At 49.9% G+C, this 26,955-nt stretch overlaps 3 protein-coding genes across 54 annotated transcripts in view, besides 3 other annotated features; 1 reads left to right on the top strand and 2 right to left on the bottom strand.

Annotated features, from left to right (window-relative positions):
- TTC21A (tetratricopeptide repeat domain 21A) overlaps positions 1-11,697 on the bottom strand; it is a 31,221-nt gene extending 19,524 nt beyond the window's left edge. For 21 of the 26 annotated variants that reach the window (NR_159494.1, NR_159496.1, NR_159495.1 and 18 more), the window contains exons 1-7: positions 11,513-11,697; positions 10,163-10,292; positions 9,238-9,348; positions 8,360-8,526; positions 6,797-6,919; positions 4,635-4,792; positions 1,224-1,308 (exon numbers count right to left, since the gene is read on the bottom strand). Coding sequence is in view for 23 of the 26 variants with exons in the window: in XM_047447647.1 (XP_047303603.1) it covers positions 1,224-1,308; positions 4,635-4,792; positions 6,797-6,919; positions 8,360-8,526; positions 9,238-9,348; positions 10,163-10,292; positions 11,513-11,539 (801 nt within the window). In the remaining 3 variants the exon portion in view is untranslated. Of the gene's footprint in view, positions 1-1,199; positions 1,309-4,634; positions 4,793-6,729; positions 6,920-8,359; positions 8,527-9,237; positions 9,349-10,162; positions 10,293-11,512 lie in introns of those variants that run through there. The other 5 variants (NM_001366899.1, NM_145755.3, XM_005264925.6 and 2 more) reach the window with 3 other exon arrangements.
- GORASP1 (golgi reassembly stacking protein 1) lies at positions 11,750-22,778 on the top strand. 17 transcript variants are annotated; one of them, NR_103866.2, is made up of 9 exons: positions 11,750-11,898; positions 15,824-15,904; positions 16,496-16,699; positions 18,275-18,361; positions 18,500-18,589; positions 18,874-19,072; positions 19,874-20,024; positions 20,484-20,636; positions 20,888-22,778. NR_103866.2 is itself a non-coding variant. In NM_001410726.1 (9 exons), the coding sequence occupies exons 1-9, from the start codon at positions 11,836-11,838 to the stop codon at positions 21,139-21,141; spliced, it is 1,233 nt and encodes a 410-aa protein (NP_001397655.1). In that variant the 5' UTR covers positions 11,750-11,835; the 3' UTR covers positions 21,142-22,778. The 17 variants fall into 17 exon arrangements, 14 of the variants coding, with proteins under 14 accessions (NP_001397655.1, NP_114105.1, NP_001397660.1 ...); NR_103867.2 differs by having other exon boundaries at positions 18,500-18,630; positions 18,923-19,072; NM_001410726.1 differs by having other exon boundaries at positions 18,923-19,072.
- Positions 11,801-12,120: a silencer, noted in NCBI's record as "silent region_14217". NCBI's record gives its function as "represses an Ori minimal core promoter by ATAC-STARR-seq in GM12878 lymphoblastoid cells {active_cell/tissue: GM12878}" and the evidence as "EXISTENCE:reporter gene assay evidence [ECO:0000049][PMID:35858748]".
- Positions 15,896-16,395: an enhancer, noted in NCBI's record as "H3K4me1 hESC enhancer chr3:39144473-39144972 (GRCh37/hg19 assembly coordinates)". NCBI's record gives its function as "activates a minimal SCP1, AML or CMV promoter by ChIP-STARR-seq in naive H9 embryonic stem cells {active_cell/tissue: H9 hESC(naive)}" and the evidence as "EXISTENCE:reporter gene assay evidence [ECO:0000049][PMID:30033119]".
- Positions 16,168-16,217: an enhancer, noted in NCBI's record as "active region_19691". NCBI's record gives its function as "activates an Ori minimal core promoter by ATAC-STARR-seq in GM12878 lymphoblastoid cells {active_cell/tissue: GM12878}" and the evidence as "EXISTENCE:reporter gene assay evidence [ECO:0000049][PMID:35858748]".
- The window catches only part of WDR48 (WD repeat domain 48), a 44,649-nt gene continuing 40,406 nt past the window's right edge, over positions 22,713-26,955 (bottom strand). For 8 of the 11 annotated variants that reach the window (NR_144401.2, NM_001346225.2, NM_020839.4 and 5 more), the window contains 2 exons: positions 25,311-25,503; positions 22,713-24,729 (listed from right to left, as the gene is read on the bottom strand). Coding sequence is in view for 8 of the 11 variants with exons in the window: in NM_001346225.2 (NP_001333154.1) it covers positions 24,634-24,729; positions 25,311-25,503 (289 nt within the window). In the remaining 3 variants the exon portion in view is untranslated. Of the gene's footprint in view, positions 25,504-26,955 lie in introns of all 11 variants that reach the window. The other 3 variants (NR_144400.2, NR_144399.2, XM_005265346.5) reach the window with 2 other exon arrangements.

Genomic DNA, 26,955 nt, shown 5'->3' with positions numbered 1-26,955 from the left:
TAGAAAGGTTAGGCAATTGGTCTGAGGTCACCCAGCCACCTAGGTCACTGACAGATTCCAAAGCTTAGGTTCTTTCCCACTCCCCACCCAGGAGTAAGGAATTCTTAGTTCCCAGCTGCAGAGAAGTGCCAAAAGCAAAACCAAGGATGGTATGGGTCCACTCTGTTCAGTAAGTATGAACAAAATTAGAACTGGGTAGCCAGCCCGGGGTCGGTGGGGAGGTCCCAAGGTTTGAAGTGGGAGTAAAAAAGGGGCTAATGCTAAATCTCAGTTAGCTAAATGCTAAGTCTGCCCCTGGGATTAACTTTCAGGCCAGGCCCCAGGAAGGCCTGCTTAGGGATCTGGAGTCACAGGGAGCTGAGGATAGTCCTATTCTCTTATTCCTACCCAGAGACGAAAAGGGCTGGGGCCTTTTTCTCCCAAATACGGACTCTCCCCTCTACCTCACCCCATCCCACAAAATCCACAATCTCAGAGCTGTGCAGAAGAAACCAGAAGCTTCCCCTTCCCACCATGACCCCTTAGAGACTCCTGGTTTGCCATGCTCTCCATAGAGGCAATATATTTCACTGATCTAAAAGGCAATGCTTTGGCTAAAAACAAACCTTTCTGAAAATGAGAACCTGTCTGGGTATTGAGGTTTCACTAAGAATTCTAGGTGTTTCTGACTGCATTTGAGGGCTATTTTTGGTTTCTTTGGAAAACTACAAGACTTACGAGCATGTTTGGGGCCCAGTATTACCTGGCCAATGCCTGAGCAGTTCCAACTATCCCCTAAAAAAAAGGCATTTCCTGAATTCAGAAATACTACCACGACTTCTACTATCAGTTAACATTGATGGAATTACTGTAGTGTGCCAGGGACTGTTCCAAACTCTCCCACTTCTTATCACATTTAGTCCTGTGTGGAATTCTGTCTATTTTACAAACAGGAAGCCTGCGGCTTATCCAGGTGGGGACACCTGCCCAGGCTTCCACAGATAGCACATGGCAGAGCCTAGAATCAATCTCACTGCCTGATGCTGCCTGACTCCCAAGCTACACAACTCAAAGAGTCAAACCAGAGCAGGCCTCCTTGGCAGCGAGTATAGGGGTGGGGTAGAAAAGAGGAAGCTGAGATCCAGGAGCTCCCTACAAGGGCTTTGGGTCAGGTGCACAGGTCATGAAGGGTTCCTCCTTGATTCTGTTTCAAGGATCACCTTCTGAGTCTTCAAAGAACTTACTGTGGTCATGTTTCCTTCTCTTGCAAGCTCATGCACGGTTAGAATTTGGCAGGCATCAATATTGCTCTCATCTTTTTCTAGGATTCTGAAGGAAGAAGAGGAGGCACATGAATTGAGAGTATTGATAGGCAAAGCTGGGATGGTGTGTTGGCGACTTCTGATTGTCTTTGAATATCCATTCTCCCCTCTTCTTTTAATAATAGAACTCCCAAATTAGCCAGGCACAAGCTGCTCAGAATAAAGACATTTCCCAGCCTCTCTTTGCAGCTTACATTTGGCCATGTGACAAAGGTCTGACCTACAGGATAGAAGTACAAATGAGGGGTGTGCTGTCCAGTTGTGCCCTACCAGCATGCCTTCCCTTTCCCCCCTTTCCTCCTGCCTACTGTATGGAATGTGGACCATGTGAGCATTATCCTAGGAATAGCAGAGCAACAAGACAGAGGGGCCTGGGACTCCCCAGAGTTAAGCTGTCATCCCAGCCCTGAGCCACCACCAACTTTGCCTGGAGGAGGAATAACCTTTTATGTTATTTAAGTTGTGTATCTGAGGGTATCTTTGCCACAGAAACTTATTCATAACCCAACTAACCAGACATGACCATGGTGCCAGAGACTGGAGGTGGCCAGAAAGGCACTTGGGGGGCAGTCACTGTAAGATGGAAAAGGAACCTGGGTTTCAATTTTGTACTATTGTGAAGCTATAGCTTCTGACCATACTATGAGGTTTTCAATATTCTATTTCTTTATAGAAAGATTCTTTCCCATTTTTCAGCCTATCAGGGAATGACTTTCTGCTTAATAGCAGGTTAGTCTAATTCACATACTAAATTCCGACATGATTAGACACAATCAGCATTGAAAAAGTTCTAACCATTTCTGATACTTCTGAAAGCACTGTAAACCTCATACATGTGAGAATTAACAAAAACTGCAACATACTTTGAAATAACTTATAGACCAAAGAAGAATCAAACAGATATTAGAAAATTCTTGGAGCCAAATGATATGGAAAAATATTACATATCCAAATGTGTAGACTGTGCAAAAATGGTACCTCAAGGGACACGCACAGACTTCAATGCTTATATTCCAAAGTAAAATTGAGAATGGTTGAGACAGGCATCCAACTCAAGAGTCAGAAAACAGGCCAGACACGGTAGCTTACACCTGTAATCCTAGCATTTTGGGATGCTGAGGTGGGAGGATTGCTTAAGGCCAGGAGTTCAAGACCAGCCTGGCAACACAGTGAGATCCCATCTCTACCAATTAAAAATTAAAAAATAAAACTAAAAACTAAAATTTTTAAAAAGTTAGAATACAATAGCAAAATACCTTGGAAGAAAGCAGTTGGTAGGAAATAAAAAAGTTAAGAACAGAAATTAGGCTGAGTATGGTGGCTCATACCCATAACTCCAGCACTTTTGGAAGCCGAGGCAAGAATATCATTTGAGCCCAGGAGTTTGACACCTGCTTGGGCAACATAAAAACAAAAAATAGCTTATAAAAAAAATAGCTGGGTATGGTGGTGCTTGCTTGTAGTCCTAGCTTCTCAAGAGGCTGAGTTGGGAGGATCACTTGAGCCCAGGGGTTCGAGGCTGCAGTGAACTATGATTATGCCACTTCACTCCAGCCTAGGCAACAAAGCAAGACATTCCCCCCCAAAAAAAGGGGGGGGCAGAAATTAATAAATTAGAATACACAAAGAATATGATATAGAATTTATAATACAAAATTTCTATTTTATTAGAATATAATAGAAAGGAGCTACAAAACTCAAAGCTGTTTCTTTAAAAAGACTAATAAGAGAGGCAAACTTTTAATATTAATGAAGAAAAATAAGAAAGAAAAAATATATTAGGGGTGAAAACAGAAACACATCTTTACAGAGCAGAGTTTTAAAAATCAGTGAGGGAATTCTATGAATCCCACTAACTGGGAAAGCTTCCATGAGGGAACACGCTGGGGCACTGGATTCAATCTGTTGGCCCCACACACTGTCTCCCTGCACATGGGCACAGCAGGGCCAGGGCCAGGGAGGCCACAAACATCCACATATGGCTTCAGCCAGGTGCTTCCAGGTGAGTTGCTGGCCTGAGGCCTAGCCTCCAAAGCAAGCTCCTACCAAGGCCAGGTTTACACTGCGAGAGAGGGAAGCTGAGGTCCACACAGGCATTACATGTGTGGCGCTGGGCAGGGTAGAGATAAGTTTGATTTGCTACCAGCACCTCTCTATAAGATTCAAGTTCCAGTCATCAGCAGAGGAATTAGGATTCTTCTCCAGGGAAGGAAGAGGTTTGATTATATGCTTTTTTTTTTAGACCTGTGCTATATATTTCCCTATAATTCAGTTACAAGTCATAGTGATAACTCATGGGCCATTAACTCCTTATGGGAAAAAAGTGAAGATGACACATTTTAGAATGATTGCGATAAAAATAAAGTGTTAGAGTTTATTTTTATTTTGTTTTATTTATTTATTTTTTTCGAGACAGGGTCTCATTCTGTCACCCAGGCTGGAGCACAGTGACACAATCACAGCTCACTGCAGCTTCAACCTTCCTGGGCTCAAGTGATTCTCCTGCCTCAGCCTCCCTAGTAGCTGGGACTTCAGGTGCACACCACCATGCCCAGTTGATTTTATTTTTTAATTTTCTGTAGAGACAAGGTCTCACTATGTTGCCGAGGCTGGTCTTGAACTTCTGGGCTCAAGCAATCCTCCTGCCTCGGCCTCCCAAAGTGTTGGGATTACAGGCATGAGCCACTGTGCCCATTAGAGTTTAAAGAGATAATTTTTTTTTTTTTTGGTTCCCCAAAAGCCTTGCATCAAACACCCTCCCCAAAGCGGCTGTCATTTCTCTTCACAATGCTTCCAGATCACTCTACACTTGGAGTCTGGTTTCTACATGCCCAATAACTCCTGAAATCTGCTCTCTGGTTTATGTACCCAGCCTGCTGCTAAAACACTTCTCTCAAAGTCACCAGTGACTTTTTTCCCCTAAAGTTTTTATTAAGGTATACTATACTTAATAGTTTTAAAAAAACCTTAATAATGCAATATATTCTAGTCTCATTCTCCTGCCAGTCTTCATAGCAACTGCTTTCTACCCTGTAACTCTTGCTTTAGTTCTTTTGATGGGTCCTTCCCTGTCTCTTCTAAACAATAAGCCTTTACCCTCTGTTTCTTGATTTAGCCATCATAGGCCACAGCTCCTAGCCTCATGTTATCATGTGTATTTCATTTGCTTGCACCCATCCCTGCTCTCTTCCTCATCCCAATTTGGCCATAGCACAATTCCCAGTTCCTCTATGGGCGATATTTACCTTTCTGTCTTGTTCTCCTGCCTCCCCAGCTTATAAGATGGTAAATACCTGTTACCACCCTTGGCTGCCCATTTGTGCAGTAGCTCACCTGTGTCCCATTTCTACTGTCTGCTCCCAGTCCTGCCGAGCTAAGAACAGCTGCATCTTCAGGACGAGGGCTGGCAGGAAGCTCCCTGAAGTCACAGTGATCTGGTTCACCACCTCCAGGGCCTCTGAGTAGTTCTGCTGCATCATGAAGTACATTGCCTGTTGGGAGCCAGACAGAAGAGCCTCCGTGAAGGGAGTGCCCATGAAGGGAGTTTGCTGGAGGGGGGTTGTCTCTGTGTCTCCATGAAAACAGGAACAGAACCTGACACATGGGCACCGTGGGTCCTCTCAGCTGGGCCAGTAGCCCCTCAAAGTTCCCGGGAGAAGGAGTGACATATCCAGGTTTACAACAGTCTTGGGTTCTCGGACAGGATGAGCAGGGGCTTTGGGGAGATAGCTAAGCCTCAAGCTTGGAAAACTTAGCAGGCCTGGGATAGGGTAAGGCCATGTGAGGTCACCCTGAAGGGGAGAGGTGAGGTCACTGGGTGCTTTCCAGTTCCATACATTTTCCATTCATTTCCCATTCACTTTTCCATATTTCCTCACTGAAATTGCTCGCCAAGGCCCAGTTTAGCAATTCTGAGTCAGTTAGGGTTTTCTGGCAACTACTTCTATAGCAAGGTTGTGGCGTTTTTTTTGTTGTTGTTCTGTCAAGGCCTATTGGGCTGTGGTCATGGCCTCTGCAGGCCAACACCAGCCACCAGTTTCTCCTCAAAGGGTCATGACACAGGTGCCCTAAGGGCCAGGGGGCAATGCTTCTAAAAGACTTGAAATTGGACTCTGAAAGGACGGCTTCCCTTAGACCTACAGTAACCCCCATTAAGAGACTCGTCATTAAAAACAAGAGGATTATTCCGTATAATGAAGACTTACGCATAAATGTGTTCATTGAAGCACTTTAAGTGCATAACTGGAAACAATCCCAATATCCAAACAATAGGGGACTGGGTTGGTAAATTACATTATGCTCATACAGTAGAAGACTGGCTTTATATCCATGTTCAAACTGACATTTTGAATATTACACAAAGAAAATATTACATGAAGAAAAACAAACTAAATGACAATATGCCCTAGGGTGAAAACTACGTTATAGACCAACACTGTCTCCCACCCCACAGTGACTGCTGTGTGTGACCCACCCCCTACCATCAGGAGCAGGAGAGTTGGTGGCTGATGGCTCTCCATGGAGTCTCCCTCCAGGGATCACCCATGGTTGAAGGGAGCTGCTTTGTCCCAGGTCACACCTGTCCCTGGGGCAGCCCACCTCCAGTGTCAAGGCACTGATGGGGAGCTCACTGAAGGGGCATCCCGGCTCCAGAGTTCCCCAAAGAGTAGGCTGTGGCCTTTGCTGTGACTATTCACAGCCCGCCTTCTCTTTCCACAGGTGCTGGCCCCAAGGGTGCTCTGTGATAAGCTGGCTCACAATAATCTCCATTGCTTTCTGCCAGCCAGAAAACCAACCTAATACACACCCTGGACCCAAGTATAGAAAGAAGACTAGAAGACATTGCCCTAAAATACTAACATTTGTCTTGGAGCGGTAAGACTAAGCCTGCCATTTTAATTCATCTGTTGACTTTTTTTAGGCTTCTGTTTTCTTAAATAAGTATGTATTCTTTTATAATAAAAATATATGCAAACAGAAGAAAATACGAGGACATTTTTTCTCTCAAAGATTAATTCCATGAGGTTCACAAGAGAAAAAAGAAACTTAAGATCAGAAAACACAGAACATATAAAATATATACCTCCCTTCTCTTACGGCACACTAAATGAATTTAACAGGTAGAAAGAAGTGAAATGGGAAGGTCAAAATAAAAGAAGAAAGGGAGAAGGGCACTGAGTGAAACTAACACAGAGGCAGAGAGAAAGCCTGAGAGGGTCAAGGAAGGATAGACCTTAAGAAAGTGACCCTGAGAAGACCCCCATGCAAATGAGACAGAAACTCAGATCAAGCAGGAAGAAATCTGAGAAGTAGAGTGGACCTTGGACTGCTGTGTAACCCTGGATTGGTTGCTGAACCTCTCTGGGCCTCTGCTCTTTATCTACGAGATGAGGCATCTGGAGACTACGAGGGTTTGGCCTGGGGGTACCTGGTGGGTCTCTGGTTCCAGTGGCCTGGCCAGGAATACTTCCACCTCTCCCTTTTCCACTGCCCACCTTTCCCATCAGCCCCAGCACATCTTTGGTGTCCTGAATTCCTTGTTCCAGGTACTCAATGGCTTTCTTCGCAGTGTGGGGCTTGTCTGAGGTCAGGTCCACCCAGCCTCTGAGCACATAGGCCTGGGATGAGAACAAGATGAAAGATGAAGTCCTTGGTCCTGCACAGAATCAACTCAGCCTGCACATGATCCACACTTTGCCACCCAAAACCCTGAGGCCCTGCCAGGCACAGTCCCGTGCAGATCCCAGGGCAGCCAGCTCTCTCTCATGGCCAGGACTCCCATTGTTGCTTTGTCTGGAAATGCCCTGGACAGCGCCCCTCCCACTCCCAACCAAACCCCTTCACCTAATGTCCATTACCACTACTTACAACTCAGCCTCAGAGGCCCCTGCTTAGGAGGCCTCCCTCCCTGTACCCCTACAGCTCTCCATGACCCTTACTGAGGCACACTCACCTATCCTGTCATTGCCTGTTTACACTGGGGTCAGGAGCCAACATGGGGGCCTACGCAAGGCCACTCTTGATGTCTCCACTCCTTAGGCCAGCACGAGGCCTGGCCCTGCATAGGAAGCCAAGGAATGCCCTCTGAGTGGGTGAGCAGGAGCCGTTCTGAGCTCGTGGACCTCGCTGGTTCCATGTTAGCCTTCACCCAGCCTCTCCAGGCAGATGGGGAGGGCCAGGCCTGGGAAGCAGACTTGGAAGAGCCCTGCCCTAAAGCACCCCTCTTGATGGCCTAGATCAGTATTTCTCTATTATAGTTCTATTTCTCTTTTTCTATTATCTATCCTAAGGAGTCTCTTTAGATACTGTTTTCTAATCAATCCCTCCCCTTCCAAGAAATGTTAGTGCCTCAGATATACCGTATCTGTGTATTGTGTACTGTATATATATCTGTGTTTTATACATAAAGAGTAAGATTTTTTTCACCCTCTCCCCCAGGGACCATGTCTACACCCTTGAAAATTGGTATCAGCCCTGCTGAGAAGGCATGGCCTAGACTGAGGCTTCAAATTCCATATTAGTGCAGATATACAGTATATGGGCTGCACTGCATGAGCCACCATTCAGTTCCAGCAGAGCATTACAGGGAGGGAATGGCCCAGTGTGGCCAGCTCATCTGGGTCTTCAAAAGAACCAGTAAGTCTGGACCAGCCTGGGCAACATGGCAAGACCCAGTCTCTACAAAAAATGTAAAAACTAGCTGGGCATGCTGGCACACACCTATGGTCCCAGCTACTTGGGGGGCTGAGGTGGAAGGATTGCTTGTGCCTAGGAGGTTGAGGCTGCAGTGAGGTCTCAAAAAAAAATTTCTTAAGAATATGGTGCAAGCCATAGAAAATCTATCTAAAGATCAGACTCTGTGTACAAATGCCAATGTGTAACCTCTGCTAAGCCCAGAGACAACACGCGTGGGGCAACTGTGAGACCCGGTGTTTTGCCAGTGCCTGGGTGTGGCTCTCCCCCAGTTTCAGGGCCCTTTGTGGGAATGAGGGCCACCCTGCTATTATGTGTTTGGATGCTGCTTTCTTCGCCTGTTGTCCCCATGGTGTGGTAAGTACCTCTCTGAAGCCTCTAGAAATCTTCAGCATGCGGTCAATGTACTCTTTGGCCTTGTCATGGCGGCCTATGAGCCAGAGGAAAAGGCCAGCATAGTACAGTGCAGTCCCACTGACTGTCTTGCGTATTTCCTTCAGGCTGTACTCAAGCTCCTGAATTGCTTCTCGGTCTGTAAATCCAAGAGCGAAGGAAGAGGGAGAGTTAGGATGTGGAAGTCTGCCTGGTTCTGCATGGGCCACCGAGGGCCCAGGGAACTACCTCGGGGTCTCCCCCAGACACTGTGGATCTCCTTCAACATATGCAGCACACCGCATGCAGCCCAAGGCCTGGAAACCAGCAGTACCTGCCCTTGAGATGCTGCAGGGGCTGCCCTGGTGTGGACTCACGTGTGCTGTCTGAGATTACCTTCTCTTCTCTGTGCCCAGCAGTGTGCTGAGCAGGCAGGCCAAACCAAAATCCTTAGCCTCAGGCCCACAACTTATTGTGAGTAGGGAAATAGTAGTCTGTAGTCTCTCTTGGACCCTCTCCCTGACTCTAGAAATGTGGAGATTAGGGGTAGAATTATATATATTGGCTTGGTTTTTCTGACAAGATCTTGGCAAAGAAGAAGGGTGTTTCCCCAACTCTTGGGATCTGGAGCATGGGCCCCTCCCACTGTCATGGGCTCTGCCTGCTTCCACTCAGTTGGGCCCAGGCATGGAGTCTTCTCCCAGGCCTCCAGGGGGAGAGGAGCAGCAGCCACTTCTCACTGGTTAACAGCATCTGCACAGCCACCAGGGCACATACCTCCTTTGGCAGCCCTTGAGGGGCTGTGTTATCTCTGGGGCAGGGCTTTCCTTCCCCTGGTGGGTCAGGCCTGGTTGAGCATGGTGGCACTCACCAATGATTTCACATCTTTTGTGAGCATAAATGAGGGCCATGGTGGAGCACAGGGACACGTCTGGGTGATGCCTGATGCTTTCCAGGTCACTGATGGCATCCTGGATGTGCTCTGCAAAGACAGTCCACATAGTTATACTCTCAAGCTCCAGGACTAGAGGACATGAGACTCTGTAGCTGACCCAACAGCTCAGCACTACTACCTGCTGGACTAACTGGTCTGAAAGGTCCCCAGTGACCCAAGTTCCCTGAAGATTGGGGCTCTTTGAAAGAGTTGCTGGTAACATGGTCCAGGCTGTTAGGGGCTGGAAATCTTGGACTTGAAAGGTTCACCCTGTGAGTACTTGTGGGGATATGTGTGAGGCTGCAATTATTAGCTGCGTCAGTTCTGAAGAAGGACCTCAGGCAGGGCATTCTCAGCTACTGCTCAAGAGCCACTGATTACATTTATCCCTCCATGTCCTCAGACATTTGGCCATGGGCTATTCTGCCAGTCCTCAGCCTAGGACCACCTTCTGAATGTCAGCCCATCTGCACCTGCATGGGTCTCACTCCTCTCCCTGTACCTGTACCATACCCACCTGTCCTCACACCTACCTCTTCCCCCTCCTTTGCCTGCATTACCAGTTCTCAGCTTCCAGGCCTGGAATTACTTCAAGAATCATGCAGCTATCTCTCCAACCACTCATTTTACAGAGAGGGAACCCGAGGTGCAGAGCAGGGATAGTCAGCGCTCTGAGGTCTCAAAAGTCAACTAGATATGGATTACGTAGGCCTCTGTGGATTCCCGTGGGAATCCAGCCGCTGAGTGTGAAACTGTTTTTATGGGACCATAACTAGGATACAAGAAGGCATCCAGGTGGAGCCAGAGTGTTAGGGCCCAGCTAGTGCCTGGGGTCACAAGACCAACACTGCCAAGTCCTTACCTTCTTTGAGGACTCCATAGGCTTTAAAGAACTTCAACACAGGGTCATTGCTGAATTTTTCCAGGCCCACAGCTGCAGCCTGCTGCACATGGTGGAAGTACTTTTCCTGGCTATAGTAAATGATCCCAGCCTGTATGAAGGAAGACATAACTGCAATAGCCCAGTCCCTTCTCTGTCTCTGTTCTGTCCCAGATGGGATGAGACCTGCTCCCTTCCCTATCCCCTGCTCCTCCTCAGTTCTGCAAAGGGAAGAGAAAGAGGAAACATTCAGGCCTCATCCTGTCCTCTAACAGCCCTGGGAGCAGCTCCATGCAGTTTTCCCAGGAAAGAGTTTGGAGGTGTTTGTTTGGGGGATTACCAACAGATTCTGGTTCAACTATGATGGGGAATTCAACCAAGGCTTTGTCTTAGGAAGGGAATAAGGGGGGAAAAATGAGGACAAATAATAAGAAAAATTATACGAATTGTAGTTACAAGTTATTGTGGGCTTCATATCCACTATCCTGTGCATGGTCCTCTCAGTATCTTTCACAGCTAAGGAAGCTTAAGCCCATGGAAACTACAGCTTGACAAAGGGGCTGAGATTTTAAAGTTAAGTTTCACTTCCTCTAAGGTTTGTGGGTGCTAGGTTGGGAGCAGATGTGGTTGGACTGTAAACATCCTCATGGGCCATATGAAAGAGCCCAGACACCATCCTAAGGGTAACAGAAAGCAGAATGGTTTTAAGGCGAGGGATGTTTTCAGATGTACATTTTTGCAACAACCACTCTGGCTGCTTTTGCATGTGGGGGGTGTGTGCCGTGGTGGCAGCAGGGACTACTGATGCTGAAAAGAGCCACAGCAGAGAAACCAGATGGGAGGGAGGCTGTTGCAGGCTCTCAGGGGGGAGAGATGGTGCTGGTTCTGGGCTAGAAGATAAAAAGATAAAAAGAAAACCCAGGAGACATCAAGGAGCTGGCATTTCTTGTAGACAGGATTAGAAGATGAGTATAGGGAAGAGGTATGAGTTAAGGCTAGGAGATTAAATGGTGAAGCCATCAACTGGGGTGGGAGGCGCAGGCGAGAGTGAGCTGGGTGGAAGAAGGGATGATGACAAGAAGGGATAATGATAGTGATTGGATGAGCTGGTTTGGGGTAGCTCAAGAAACGGGGATGCTAATTTGGGGCTCAGGGTGCGCAGAAGCCACCGGAGAAGACGCCCTTGCCAGGGGGAGTGGGGCAAGAAAAGGCAGGACCGCCTGATATAACTGAGGACAGCGAAGGGTGGCAGGAGAGTAGCAGGGCAGACGGTCTCTGGGTCAGGGGCGGGGAGTCACGAGGGAGCCCTCGGACAGCGCCCGGGCCACGCACCATAAGGGAGGAGTCATTGCTGCTCATCTCGGGCCGCTCGCGGCTCCGAGTCCGGGTCTGGTGGGGCGGTGCAGAGCGGGATTCCCGAGGCAGGGTCGTGGGCACTCTATCGCGGCGGGCGGTTGAAGGCGTTACAGTCCTTGGAAACCGAGCTGCTAGCCGGTTGCTAGGAGCGTCCAGTGTCTGGAGTGGGAGGAACAAAACGCCTCACGTCACAAGGCGCAGGAATCGAGCGCCGAGAGAGCGAGTCGGTGCTACTGGCGTCGGGTCGGTCCGGGTAGGCGCAGCGGGACTGGACCTGGGTGCCGAGCGGAGCCGCTGCCATGGGCCTGGGCGTCAGCGCTGAGCAGCCCGCAGGCGGCGCCGAGGGCTTCCACCTCCACGGGGTGAGTTGCCGCCGCGGCGCCGGTGACCTTGGCGAGGCGCCCGCAACCCCGCGCCCGGGCGTCCGGTCGCCGGCTGGCTGGCGACTGCGGCGGGGTCCCGGCCCGAGTGTTTCCGCCTGGGTGGCGGGAGGTGCCCCCTGCCCGGTGGGAGCCTCCTGGGAGAGGCGGCCTCGCGGGACTCCCGGACCCTGGCTAGTCCGCGGCCGCGGTCGGGCCCAGCGCCCGCCCCAAGTGCCAGCAGTGCCGGAAGCGGAGCGTTTTCCTGGTCCGGCCGCCGGGAATGGCGCTCCTCCCGGGTGAAGAATGCACCACTACCAGTCGGGACGCACTCGTGCACTTAGCACACATTTACGCTCGCCTGCCGCGGGCCGCTCTCCGTGCTGGGCCTGGGAAGAGAGTCAGCCACGCCGAGGACAGTCCCGGGGGCCGGGGTTAACCGAGTGGACGCAGCTGCGGGGGAGCCCGTCGGCGCGCGTCCTGCCAGTCGTAGGGTCGTAAGGGCTTCCGAGGGTAGAGGACCGGTGCAAACCAGCCACGGGATAGTGGGGAGCGGGAGGGCCGGGAGAGTGCTGCAGAATCCTCGAGGAGAGCGTTTGCAGCTGGGGAGGGTCCCAGCCTTTAGATGCCGCTACATGGAGGTCTGGGCGAGCAGGCTTCCGGAGAGTGGAGACGGAGTGGGGTTCCTAGAACGGAGTGTGCTGTGAGGGTGAGGAGAGGGTCCCGCAGCCGGATGGAGATTTGTGCCTGCGGTGAGGGAAGGGCTATAATGTAGGTGAGAGGGGCTGGGGGTCTCTGACCCCGGAGCGCTGCGGGGAAGAGGCGTCCCTGCACCCCCCCTTTCCCTAGTGAAAGGCAGCTGGATGCAGAGATGAGTGGAGACAGGCAAGCTTGTCGGTTTGTGTGTTTTGAAGGTAGGGTCTGTTGCCAGCTAACCACATGAGAGGGCTAAAAGTTTCTTAACGTGAAAACCAGGCTGGCTTGGAGAACCCAGAGTTGACAGGATTTGTGCTTGGGAATGGGCTTTCTTATGGTGAGACACCAAACAGCAAGCGTGGACAGTGGAATGCATCCAGCCAGGAGCGTCTTCCAACAGGTTTGATTAAAGGCAAAGGAACTCAGGATATTGGCAAGAGGAGGGGTGGGGCGATGATGGGAGCTTCGAAGACGGGAGGGGCCTGCCTGATGGAGAGGGACAAATTGGAGAGGGACCAGGGATCAGAGGTTGTCAGTCACAAAAACAAAGTTTTGAGCTCCTACTCTGGCAGGCAGAATTCTAAGGCTCTAGAGATAAAGCAGTGAACAGAACAAACATGGTCCCTGTTCTGGAGCTGACATTTGGATGATGGTAGGGAAAGAAGGGAAATGAAAAAATACATGGTAGGTGGTAATTACCAGTGATAAAAATAAAGCAGGTTAAGGGGATACAGAATGGTGAGTGGGTGCTATTTTTGATAGAGTGGTCAGGAAGGGCCTCTTCTCAAGTCACATTCGAACAGATGCTTCTGAAGGAAGTAAAGAGTGGACAATACAGATATTTAGGGGAATAGTAGTATTCCAGGCAGAAGGACCAGCTTGTGCAGAGGCCCCGAGGTAGGTTGTGCTTGTGTGTTTGAGGAAATGCCAGGTGAGGCTGGTGTGCTTGGATGGTGTGGCCAGTGTGAGGAGGAGACCAGAGCAGACCGTGTAGGACCTTGCCTGTTGTCCTGAAGATTTAAGATTTTATTCTGAGATGTAAAACCATCAGGAGGTTTTAAATGGAGGAGTGACATGACCTACTTACCTTTAACAACACTGAAGAACAGCTGTGCTGCATTCTAGAAATATTGGCACCTCGCTGCGTGCCCAATACTTTGGAGAAGTCGCTGCCCTCAGCGAGCTTAGAGTAGTGGCAGATTCACCAGGAAACAGCTGTTAGGAGAGGGCAGTGGTTAGGGGGAGGGCTCTGGGTTGGATTTCCTGGGGTCAAATTACTGAATTATTGAGTACTTGGTCTCATTTGTCATTTGAGGTTATTAAAAAGGTTAAATGACACATAAAGCAGGTGAGGTGGTGCCATGCCCTGGCACTCAGCCAACCAGCCCTTAGTAAGTGTAAGTTGTGATCACTGTGAGTTCCATTAGGTTCCCTGATTGGGAAAAATAGGGTGGGAGCATGAGGAAAAGCAGCACTATAGGGCCTTGGGGCAGGCTGTGATGGGAGCCCCTGAGGGAGCTGGATGGCAGGCAGTGGTTTCTGCAGGGGGAGCCGTACAGTGGGCAGCAGCATAGATTATTTCAGCTGCGGAGCCATAGTGAGTAGTGATGAGGCCCCAGGTGAGAGAAGTGGAGTGTAGCCAAGCAGAGGACAAAGCCACAGGAGAGGGTGGTGGAGGTATTGGGTGGGTCAAGGAGGCCAGGCCTGGGGCCTGACCCTCTGGACCTCATTCATGATGGAGAGCAGCTGACATGCAATACTGGGGAGTGGGGAGGGAAGTAGGCAGGCACCTGACGTGGAGTGATTTGGAGGTGGCCCTGATTAGGGAGGGGCATTGTCCCCAAGCTATTCCTGAATAACTGTCCTGTCCTGTGGTTTTCGAAAGATCCCCTCACCTGAAGGGTTAGAGGGCAGGGCCCAGAGCTCCCCTGCAGCGGGGCCTGGGAGCAGCTTGCCTACTGGGCCAGGCCAACTAGGCCCAGATCTGATTTCTGGGCCGCACTCACTCCCTTTGGAAGCCATGGCAGCTTCTGGAGGTGATAAGGAGGGGCTCAGTTGGTGATGCTGCCAGAAGGGAATCCTAATTCCAGGGGCAAACTGGCCTTGATCTCAGCGGTTTGTTCTCAGCCTAGTCTTCATGAGCTCTCCTTCAGGTTGGGGAATCCAAACCTGGAGGGGCTGGTATGTAGCAGGAGCCACAGGGCCTTTCCCATGAGGAGGCAGCAAGAGCCTAGGTCCTGTGCCCTCTGGGCTGGGTCTGGCTGGTGTCTACGCCAACAGGTTATCAAATGCCCGCAGCCAAAGACCTGAGGGTGTGGGCCCATCTTCGGGTCTAGGGCCTTGGGACAAAGCCTGCATTGTTTAAGCCAGGCTCTGTATATGGGGCTTTTGGGATGGATTTCTGCCACAGCCTGCAAAGCCTGGTTGTTGTGCTTTTGGAGACAGCAGTGAGGTGGGGAGTTCAGGGAGGGGCAGGGAGCACCCTGGAAATGGGAATGCTTCCTGGAGGAGGTGTCCTGCACAGGCATGGAGGCTACACTATGAGGCTGGTAGGGCAGCTGAGCCACTGGGGGGCTCCTCAGTCCAGAGCCAGGCTGTGGGGATTGGCACTGCCCACTCACTGGGCTCCCTGGCTCAGGCCTAGTTCTACCCCTGGGGTCTGCTTCTCTGCCAGTGGCTTTCATTACCTGCTGGACTGAGCCTGGGTCTCCCACCCCAGAGGCTGGGGTGCAAGCTGGGACCTGGCTGCAAGCTGCTTTTCCCACTCCCTCTTTCTGGGTACAGCCCTGGGTGTATCCCTCCCGAGGCCTGCCCACTTCCACTGCACGTCAGGGCCCTCCCTTCTGGTCCAGTCTAAACCTTTCTGGTAAACCCTTTTGGCTTTCCGGCCAACCCTAGCCTAGCCCTCTAGAGCAGCATTCCCACAGGCCTGGGCCAGCCTGTCTCCATATTGCCTCCTGGGAGCCCCTAAGGATGTCCTGGGCTGTGAGCCATTTCTGAAAGCATCTGTGGATCATAATCAGGAAGGAGCCATTTTCCTAAGAGGAAAATTTGTGCCCAGGAAGGTAGCAAGAGGCCATGGAGTGAACCCTGAGAATGTCCGGAACAGTTCATGCCAGACATGTGTTCTGGCTGGCACACTGGGAGTGCTGATGGTTCCTGAAATGGGGGAGAGGGCTACTTGGAGAGTCCCAGGGTTGGCGCAGTGACTGTGGTCTTTGCTGTGGGATAGGTGCAGGAGAACTCCCCAGCCCAGCAGGCGGGCCTGGAGCCCTACTTTGACTTCATCATCACCATTGGGCACTCGAGGCTGGTGAGTTCCCCAACCTGCCTCTGCTTTGCTTGCTTATGTGTGTTTGTGTGTCTTCATCTGTCCCACAGGGGGCCCCAGTCTACCCTTCCCTCCCTTTTTTTCTAAAGGGAGTCCCAGCCCTGTCTCCCCTTCTTCCAGGGCTGTACTCAGAGCCTGACTGGGGCCCTGCCCAGTGCTCAGCTTCTGAGCTCTGTGGGGTGGACAGAGGACATATGGCCTCTTGGAGGTGGCAACAAGGCCCAAGGGGCCTGCCTCCTGGGGCATGAGGGATATGAGGGCCCTGGCCAAGGGGCAGCTCAGAGTGGGGCAGCACTGGAATGCTGTGGATCTGGGAGGCTTTTTGCTTGCTTTGTTTTTTCTGGCAGGCTGAGGAAGGTTTGGCAGTGCTTGGGGAAGGTGGGGGTCCCAGTGGCTGCAGGCTCAACCCTGGTCTGTGAACCTGGCCCATCCACTACCTTGGCCCATCCCCACAGTGACCCTGCTGAGGGCTGCTGCCCACTAAGGCCCTTGCCCCATCTCAGGCCCAGACTTGTCTGAGGGTCCTAGCCTGGGCATGAGGTGGCCTTGGAGTCAGCCCCATTGCCCCCACAGAACAAGGAGAATGACACCCTGAAGGCACTACTGAAAGCCAATGTGGAGAAGCCCGTGAAGCTGGAGGTGTTCAATATGAAGACCATGAGGGTGCGCGAGGTGGAGGTGGTGCCCAGCAACATGTGGGGCGGCCAGGGCCTACTGGGTGCCAGTGTGCGCTTCTGCAGCTTCCGCAGGGCCAGTGAGCAGGTGTGGCATGTGCTGGTGAGTGTGGGGTATGGCAGGGCAGGGTGTGTCGGAAGGATGAGTTTACTGGGGCAGGTCTGGGTGTGGGCGGGGTGTGAGGGGGTACATGCAGGAGTGGAGTGGGAGCCTTGGAGCAGTGGCCAGGGAAGACTGAGGGCAGGATGTGGTCTCATTCCAGTGTCCCAGAGAGGGCAGCTCATTACTACCTGAACAGTGTATCTTGCTTCCTGTTAGCCATGACTTTGGGTACTTTCTTACCTTCTATACCTAGGTTACTTAATTTGAAAGGTAGAAATATCATCTACTGGAATGGTGGTTGGACTGCTGGAATGCTGCTGCTTTTATTATTCTCTGTGTCTCTCCGTGTGTGTGTTGCATGACAACGTTTCAGTCAACCACGGACTGCATATACAATAGTGATCCCATAAGATTATAATACCATATTTTTACTGTACCTGTTCTATGCCTGAATGTTTAGACACACAGATACTTAATTGTGTTACAGTTGCCTACAGTACTCAGTATAGTAACATGCTGTGCAGGTTTGTAGCCTAGGAGCAACAGGCCATAGCATATACTCCAGGTGTCTAGTAGGCTATGTGTAGGTTAAGTTCTATGATGTTTGCACAACAATGAAGTCAACTAACAATGCATTTCTCAGAATATATCCCTGTCATTAAGCAATGTGACTGTAAATATACTGTTTTTTCTGGTATATTCTTATATGATTAATCGATATCTTAACCTCAGTGACCAAGCTGTCATAGATGTTAGTCTGTCCACAGACACACATGCACACCCAACACCTGTGCCCATTGATGGTATCTAAGTTCTTGAATGCTCAGTCCTGTAGCCTGGTGGAAGGAGGGTGCTCTGAACTAGAAGTTGGCTGATTTGTTTTCTAGCCACTTATTTTTCTCACTGACTTCTTGGGAGAGCCTGGCCAAGTTTCTCAACTTTCACAGCCTGCCTTAATCTGCCCATGAGGGAAAGGGGACTGATGATGCAAATTGCTTTGCATTTCCCAGGGAGACTGGGAGATTGGGAGTGGTGGAACTTTCCAAGGGAGAAGGGAATCCTTATTTGTACCCAGTTTTGCTCATTGCCCTCACCTCCAACCCCTAGGAGTCTTTAGCCACATGCCTGCAGCAGAAGCAGCAATGTAGTGGGTGCTCCTGTAGCCAAGGTGTGCTTTTCTTCTTTTCATATATTTATTTATTTTTCTCAGCAACCCTATCATTAGGTACTGTGTATCTTACTTTTAATTGTGGGGAAACTGAGGCTAGGAGAGGTTCAATAATGTGTTTATAGTCATATAGCTGGGCAGCTGGAGCCAGGGGTTGAGCCCGGGGTCAGATTCCAGAGCCTGGTGCTGAGCCTTATCATGGTACTGCCCTCTGCTGGACAGGCTGTAGACCTGGGGGAGATAGGGGAATGGAGGGGTGAAATGAGGGAGTATGGGCTTGAAGCCCTGCTTAGGGATAGAGGACAAGTGTCCCACTCACTACCTCAAGAGGCAGTTCCCCCTGCCCTTTCCCATCCCCCAACCCCACCTCTAGTAGCATGGCCAGTGGTTTGCGGTTCTTTCCCCAGGATGTGGAACCATCTTCACCTGCTGCCCTTGCCGGCCTGCGCCCCTACACAGACTATGTGGTTGGTTCGGACCAGATTCTCCAGGAGGTGAGGAACCCGCAATTTGCCCCTCCCCAGACCCTCTGGATGTGGTGTGAAGAGAAGGGTGCTGTCCATGAGAAGTGTCTGGTTTTGTTGAGGCTTTAGCCCTGGAAGCAGGCCTCAGGTGCTATGCGTTTCTCACAGTCCGAGGACTTCTTTACGCTCATCGAGTCTCATGAGGGGAAGCCCTTGAAGCTGATGGTGTATAACTCCAAGTCAGACTCCTGCCGGGAGGTGACTGTAACTCCCAACGCAGCCTGGGGTGGAGAGGGCAGGTACTTCGTGGGGTTGGAGGGCTGCAGGGCCAGGTGGGTGGGGCCTGACCATTGGGCATGGACCTCAGAGTTCTATGGTGGAGATGGAGGAGGGTTGGGCCCTGGGCCCAGGGATCCTGAGGCTGACCGGTATTTCAGAAGTACCCTTTTCAGCCCCCTTATTGCTGGTAGTAGGTGGGGATAGCAAAGGTAGGGAGGGCCGTGGGACAAGCCCCTGGATTGAATGTTTCTGGCCTTCGGCAGTCTGGGATGTGGCATTGGCTATGGGTATCTACACCGGATCCCAACTCAGCCCCCCAGCTACCACAAGAAGCCACCTGGCACCCCACCACCTTCTGCTCTACCACTTGGTGCCCCACCACCTGATGCTCTACCACCTGGACCCACCCCCGAGGACTCTCCTTCCCTGGAGACAGGTTCCAGGCAGAGTGACTACATGGAGGTATGTGGGGAGAATCTGCCAACTGGGAAGACAGAAAACTCTAGAGGCTGCCCTTGGGGAGCCATCAGCAACCCTCACCAGGGGCCTTTGTGATCTGAGAGGCCCATGTACTTCTGGGACCCAGTGGGAGCAGGCAGGCCATGCCTGGAGCAGTGAAACTCACTTTTGGCTTTCCTGCCCCTTGGGTCTAGAAGTGAGGGTGGAGGTGAAGCACCAGTTGTCATCTTCATTTCATGAGTGGGAAACTGAGGCTCAGAGATGGGTGCTTGCTGTGCCTGTGAGTTGTGGCAAAACTGGACAAAGGGCTAGGCCTTCAGAGCCACAGTTGGGATGGTTGTCTAGCCAAGTCTGCAGGGAAGTGCTGGCCCTGCCTTCACAGCTGATGAGTGGGTCCTCTGAGAGCACCTTTGGGCACTGGGCTGGTGCCTTGGGTCTAGGCCAGGGAGTATTCAAGGATGTTCTCCAGGTATGCCTGAATTCAAGGAAGCCCCTCTCTTCTAATGAGTCATTGATGGGGCAAAGGGAATGTGTTGGGGCCAGGTGGGCACCTGGGATTCCTTGTCTGAGTGCAAAGAGTGCTCCCTCTCAGTGCCAACACTGCAGGGAGGCCAGGCCAGGCCCCTCAGGCCTGACTTCCTATCACCAATAGAAGAAGGGGTGGTTTATTAAGGCCATTTCCTTCCTTTAGGCAGAGCAGTGTTCCTGGGACAAGTGGGGACTGGTGGTTAGGTTGGACTGCAAAATTCTTCACCTTGAGGCACTGTCCTGATTGTCCCCTACCCATTTCTTCTTCTTTCCTAGGCCCTGCTGCAGGCACCTGGCTCCTCCATGGAGGATCCCCTTCCTGGGCCTGGGAGTCCCAGCCACAGTGCTCCAGACCCTGATGGACTTCCCCATTTCATGGAGACTCCTCTTCAGCCCCCACCTCCAGTGCAGCGAGTTATGGACCCAGGTACTGGGCAGGCCCTGGAGAGGAGTGGGCCCCAGGCTTGGGGCTGGACTTTGGCAGCTATGTCAAAACTTTCCCCAGGCCTTGCTGACCCCTCATATCTCATGTATACCAAGATATTTAATAGTTGCATATCATCCAATCTAGTATACAGATGGGGAGTCTGTAGTCCAGAGAAGAGAGGTAGCCTCCTTCAGGTCACACAGCAAATTGGACACAGAGCAGAGTCTATGCCTACTGCCACTGTGCTATTCACATGATGACCAACTCCAGGCCCCTTTCTTTCCTCAGAAACAGGCAGTGTGGGAACCTCTTTGAGGTTGGGTGAGGGGTATCACCAGGGGCTGAGGAGATTACAGTCTCACAGGCTGGGCCAGATGCCCTAGGCAAGGTGAGCCCAGGGTGCTGCTTTCCAGCAGTCAGGGTTTCTTGCTGGCAAAGAACTGCACCACCCTCCCCTAGGCTTCCTGGACGTGTCGGGAATTTCTCTCTTGGACAACAGCAATGCCAGTGTGTGGCCCAGCCTGCCCTCTTCCACAGAACTGACCACCACAGCTGTCTCAACCTCAGGGCCAGAGGACATCTGCTCCAGCAGCAGTTCTCATGAGCGGGGTGGTGAGTGGCCATCACCTTCCGAAGTCCTCTGGGAAGGACCCCGGGTTGTTGGGAAGGCTGCCCTCAATTCCTCAGCTGGGCAGAAGTGGGCCATCGGGTTGATACAGCCACACCAAGGCATTTGTACACTCCATCTCCAATCCCCCATCAAACCTGGAGTGGCAATGGGGAGCGGTCGGTGGGGTTACTGGCCCTAACACCATGGCCCTAGGTTCTTGCAGACCTCCTCAGCCTGATCTTCTGTGTTGCAGGTGAGGCTACATGGTCTGGGTCAGAGTTTGAGGTCTCCTTCCTGGACAGCCCAGGTGCCCAAGCCCAGGCGGACCACCTGCCTCAGCTGACTCTTCCTGACAGTCTCACCTCTGCAGCCTCACCAGAAGATGGGCTGTCCGCCGAGCTGCTTGAAGCTCAGGCTGAGGAGGAACCAGCAAGCACAGAGGGCCTAGATACTGGGACGGAGGCTGAGGGGCTGGACAGCCAGGCCCAGATCTCTACCACAGAATAACACCCTGGGCTGTGACAAGGCCCATGATGACATTTCATGAGGCCCAGATGTGGGCAGGCAGCCCGGGCTGCACTATGCGGTCAGGATTCCTTGCTGCTTTGGTGGGACATGAGGCCTCAGTGGGTGGTGAGAGGGGGCCATGGGCCTTGTGGGAGGATATCTTTTGGCCGTGTACCCTCAGGTCCAGTGCTTGGTCCTGCTCTGGTCACTGGGGCTTCCCAGGAGGCAGCAGGGTCTGGTCATAATCCAGTGTGAAGATGAGGTGAGGAAGGAAGGGGTTGCTGTCCAGTGTTGGCCTGGTCGCTTTGATTCTTCCTGCACAGCTCAGCCCACCCCATCTGTACTGGAAGGGACCCTGGAGCCCTGGGACCACCCCCTTTCAAGTCCCAAACACTGAGTCCTCTGTCATGTGTCCTTGTCCCTAGGCTACAATGCTACACTTGGCTCAGGCTGATCACCATGCTAGTCACAGGAGGGAGAGAGAGGCAGTGTACTTGCCCCCATCTCCTGGAGGGAGGTGCGTTGGAAATTCTAGGCCCTTCAGCAGAGACCCATTTGTGCCCAGACCACAATATTTCTTCTTCCTCAGGGACTACATGCCACAGACCTGTATCCCCAGTGGCAACTCCTGTTAGCTCCCAAACTTAAACAGTGATCTCTTCTAAATATACAAGGCATCTACCCAGCCCCAATAGTGAATAAAAGTCACAAATTTAAGTTCAACACCCTAAGCAATTTCTCAAAGCCAGTCTACCTGACTAGGTCTATCCACGCACGGTTCCCAACCCCAAGGGGGAATTAGGGGATTAGATTAAGAGTAGGTAAAGACCCTTTTGTTCTTTCCTGTTGTAGGGGAGGAAGCTGTTCTCCCCACCCCAGGTGCCTTTGGAGGTTAAGGCTAGGTTAGGCCCTGCACTCCACCTGGGGACGGCCCCTCATCACCTGAAGTCCTCTGCTGTGTTGACTGGACCCTCAGTTCCCACACTGCTAATTACTATGAAAGCTGCTCTGGCCTCGTCTTCTAGCTTGTGCCTAGTTGAAAGTCTCACCTTTACAGGATCATTTGTAATGCTGGTGTACATGCAGGGAACTCACAAGCTGTGTCAGGTATGCAGGACAAGGAATGTCTGCTCTGGGGGGCACAGGCCAACTATATGGAGGGAGGGTCCCAAATTAGCAAACCCTTCATTTAAAGCAAACCCTTGTCAAGCCTACCAGAGCAGCTGATACGTGTGCATAACAGTGAGGCATTGTGTCCTGGATCGTCTGGGAGCCCAGTGTCAAGTCTGCTGGAATGCAGGAAGTAGAACAGAATCGCCACAGGACTGTTCTGGGGCCAGCTTCCCTTAACTCTGTAGCCTGGCAGTCTGACCCAAAGTTGCCCTCACCCAAAGGTTCTGGCTCTTCCCTCCCTCACTTTTACTTTCCCTTCCCCCATAAGTTGGAGGATAAAATGGGTATCAATGCTAATATTTCCAGGGAGAACATGAAACCAGAGGTTTCTTTCTTTCTCTGTAATCTGCTATGAAAGAAAATAACAAATGAAAATAAATGTGTACTACACTTTGAAATATTTTAACTAAAGCCTTTATTCTATACAACTGTGAAATACAGATTTTTACCCTTTTGGCATTGCAGACTGTCGAATTTTCTGGAAACTGTATTACGGTTTGACTGGAGGGGAAAGAAATACAATCATGCTGGGGGTCAGATCTATGACAGGAGGGGAATGCAGCCACCCAAGGCTTAGCACACAGGGCAAAATGACCCAGCAAAACCCATTTCTTTGCTCAAAGGCCCCTCGGGCAAACACAACTGAGGGCTGGTAAATAATTTTTTTTTTCTTTGCCATTAATTCACAACTATTGCTAAAAAATGTGCACCAAAAGCACACTGTTGTATCCAACAGATAGAAAGGACTTTTAAAAAAAAAGAAGCTGGTTGCTCTCTGAGGAAGGGAGAAAGACCATTTCAACTTATTAGAAATGTGGCCACGTCTTTGCTCACTTCTTCAAAGTGCAGGTGGCAATGGCCTGTCCAGTTTCCAAAAGAAGCTGACTAGCAGTGAGGGAACCCTGTCTCTGCAGTTGTGCGATCAGAGTATCTTAAATAGTAAGGTATGGCCTTAGGCCTATCAGCTGCCCCCAGCCGAACCTGTGAAGATGTAGAAAAGAAAAAACGTTCCCTGCCTCCCTCCCTAGTCCCTGCTATGGTGGAGGCAGGCCACACACAAGCTAGGGAGGCAACTGGACTGGAATCAACTGCCCTCTGAAGGCACTTGTGCTTCTGGCTTCATACAGGAGGCTTGTCTTACAGTTTTATGGGGGTGGACCACTGATTTACTCTGAATACAAATGACCTTGGGGAGAATCCAAAGTATTTTCTGCCAAAAGTTGAAGTGTTTATCCCCAATAAGTTACACTCTATACAAGATCCAAATGATTCTATGAAAGTGTTAGATTGTTAGAACAGTGAAAAGAAGATCTGGATACAGGTACAACAAAAACCTGCATATAAAACTTTGGAAAAACAAATATGTATACTTCCAGGATATGAATATCAAATTAACTCACTATGATCTCCCTTTATTCTGACACCATAAATTTTAGGTAACATTTGAATGAAACTGAAATTTCATCATGGTCTTAAATTTTGATGGTGTCATGCTGCTCATCCAGAGCAAGAACCTGTGGTCTCAGCTCGCTTTGTGTAAATAAAACTGGACACAGTGGAGGAAGGAGTGAAACTGCTGCACCTCCCTGGGGTTGCCACAAAGCCAGGACATCATGGGAGGTGCAGCATCGCTAGGCATGGGCTGCACAAACTCCGGCCCAACAGTCCAAGTGCTATGATCCAGCACCTGGAATTTCAACAGATCTTCCTACAAGAACACATCTGAGATGCAATATTAACAACAAGCCCAACATTAATCTTTTATTATGAAATGGGCTGGTTCTCAAATTGTGCAACAGCAAATTCCCATTAAAAATAACTGTCTTAAACGGTGAAAACAATTTGATTACTTTATATGACAAACTTGGAAAAAGCCTTCATATCTACTGCATGAATGGAATGTACTGTTTTAGAAAAGCTACAGAGTGTGTGGGCTTAAAGTTGAAACAGAGACAGTTGTGGCCCGACTGAGGTGTCTCTAACAAGTGTTAATGGGTAGATAAGGTCCTTTGAAACAAAAGGAGGAAGCAAAGTCTGCACTGGCCTGTTGTCAGTCTTCTGTACATCTTGAAAGACATAGTCTGCTTGGGGCTCTTCTGCTCTTGCACTCTGCTTCCCTGGGGACAGCTTAATCTACACATGGAGACTGGTTTCTATATTACATCTCGATTAGTCACTTCAATTGAAAGATAATCTCGGTCCATACCAATCAGCCGTTAGAAGTCTTGCTCCCGTTGGGGATCAGTGGGCTTCCTAGGACTACTCTTGGGGCCATAGAGGAAGGTCGTAAATGAATATCCAGGAGCATTAGCCCAGCCTTCACGTGGACTTCTGACGGTAATGGAGGGTGAGGTCTCCACCGCTCTTCCATATGAAGTGTTTCACTGTTCGAAGGTCCATATTTGGATCCAAAACCTGAATAGCCAAAATTAAATTTAAAAATTTCAAAGTCTCTAATATCTAAAACCTTATCATTAACTCAGGGACTCTCATCAGGTGATCCAGCTTGCTCACTCCTCCCCTATGCCTGGTATCCAATTCTTGCTGTCACGGCTTCCATGCATGCGGGAATGAAATTGAGCTTAGTGAGATGTACATCTTTTGTGACTATGCCAGAAACACCAGGCCATCTTTCAGCCATTCCTCTGAGGATACGTTTTGAGTGCATCTTGATTTAAAAAACAGTTCTGCCATTTCTCCGCACACCTTCACTCTAAATCATAAACATGGCACATGCTTTTTGCAAATCAAGAAGACCATGTGTCTTTTTTCTTGTCAGAAAAAAAAGCTACCAGCACATCCACATTTGTCTATGTATCCCTTCTCTGAAAATCTCCCCAGCAGTAAAGAGGAGCTTTAGGGTGGGCTTTAGGTAGGAGAGGCCCAGGGCTCCTTAGAGCCCCTCTAAAAGTAGAAGCCCCCCACCCAAAGGCATGTAACTCTTTATGAGCACCAGCACTGGAAAAATTGGGGCTGTAGTCCTCAAGTCCACTTACCTGGTCCTGGCACAAAAGTTCAATTTTCTCCTCTGCCAACACAGCAATATCTTCTTCTTTTTCCTGTTCTCCTGGTTTTTCATTATTAGAAGAGCTAGTGGTTTGAGACTCATTATCCAAGTTGATAATTTTTTCATAAACATGTTCCATAACTTTTCGGACTTGGAGCATGTCACTAGCAGAGAGTCTATCTCTGTAAAAAAGCAATGGCATATTGTGACATCAGGGAAATCACTAGATATTATTTATTCCATATTATTTTTCTTTGATGCAAACATTTTAAAGATGAAAAATAAACCAATAAATGTTTTTAGTCATTACCTTAATCCATTTTTAGAGCTGCGGAAAGATTTTCTACAGTGTCCTTCTAAGACACAGTTTATGTACAACTAAATGAGATTAATATGTGTTCTTAAAACTTGACATATACAGGCCAGGTGTGGTGGCTCACGCCTATAATCTCAGCACTTTGGGAGGCCAAGGCAGGTGGATCACTTCAGATCAGGAGTTCAAGACCAGCCTGGCTAACCAACATGGTGAAATCCCGTCTCTACTAAAATACAAAAAATTAGCTGGGCATGGTGGTGCACGCCTGTAATTCCAGCTACTCAGGATGCAGAGGCTGCAGTGAGCCAAGATACGCCACTGCACTCTAGCCTGGGCGACAGAGTGAGACTCCATCTCAGAAAAACAAACAAAAACATTTACATATACATACATAGTAGCCTTCTGGGTTTTATTCCCTTGAATACTTTCCCAGAACCTGGGCAAACTAAATAATTCTGGAAAGGCAGGCAGCTCCCAGTGCTTACCAGGGTCCGACACTCTTAGTGCTCAATTTTCCCTGGGCTCTCCTCCCCACTGCCATGCCTTCAGCTAGCACCTGTGAGCAGACAATGCCTGAGTCTAGACCTTGAGTCTCAACCTTCTCTTCTAAACCACAAACCCAACAGCTGGTTGGGTATCTTCAGTTGGATGTCCTACAGGCACCTCAAACTCTGTATGTCCCAAACTAGACTCATCAACACCCTACTTCTGTATCTCTGATAACAGTCAATAACTATTATACCAAAAAACTAAGGCCTACGCTCTGAAAATCATTTGAACTTCAGTTGTTAAATCTATCTGAACTGATGTCTAGGACTCACTTTAAAATAATTGTGTGTGTGTGTGTGTGTGTGTGTGTGTGTAGACAGAGATGGGTGGGAGGGCAGGTAGAGGTATAGGTGAAGCAAAATGTTTAGCAAGGTATTGATAATTACTGAAGCTATCTGATGGGACGATGGGGGCTCACTAGCTTCTTTCTATATAAGTTTGGAAATCTCTGTAATAAAAAGGTTTAAAAATTTTTTTTATTTTATTTGCTAGAATACATATTGTTCATAGTTTAGCATCCCATTACTACACTACTAAAATTCTTCTCTTGGGTCTCCCTGGACCATATCCCACATTGGCTCAAAAGTTTCTGGTGTTTAGTCACTGCACGCTCTATGGCTTGGCATTCAAATCCAACATCAACAAAACCTTTAACTGCTTTTCCAATTTACCTCCTAATATCCCCCTGCTGCCCCTCCATCCCATGCTGCAGGTGCATGGGTCCTCACGTTACTTTCCACTATCTTATGCATGCTCCCACTTCCACATC

The sequence above is a fragment of the Homo sapiens genome, chromosome 3 (genome assembly GCF_000001405.40).
Source record: "Homo sapiens chromosome 3, GRCh38.p14 Primary Assembly".
In the NCBI taxonomy this organism is placed as follows: domain Eukaryota; kingdom Metazoa; phylum Chordata; class Mammalia; order Primates; family Hominidae; genus Homo; species Homo sapiens.
The sequence above is the reverse complement of the archived record's forward strand: the minus strand, read 5'-3'. Positions and strand labels throughout refer to the sequence as shown.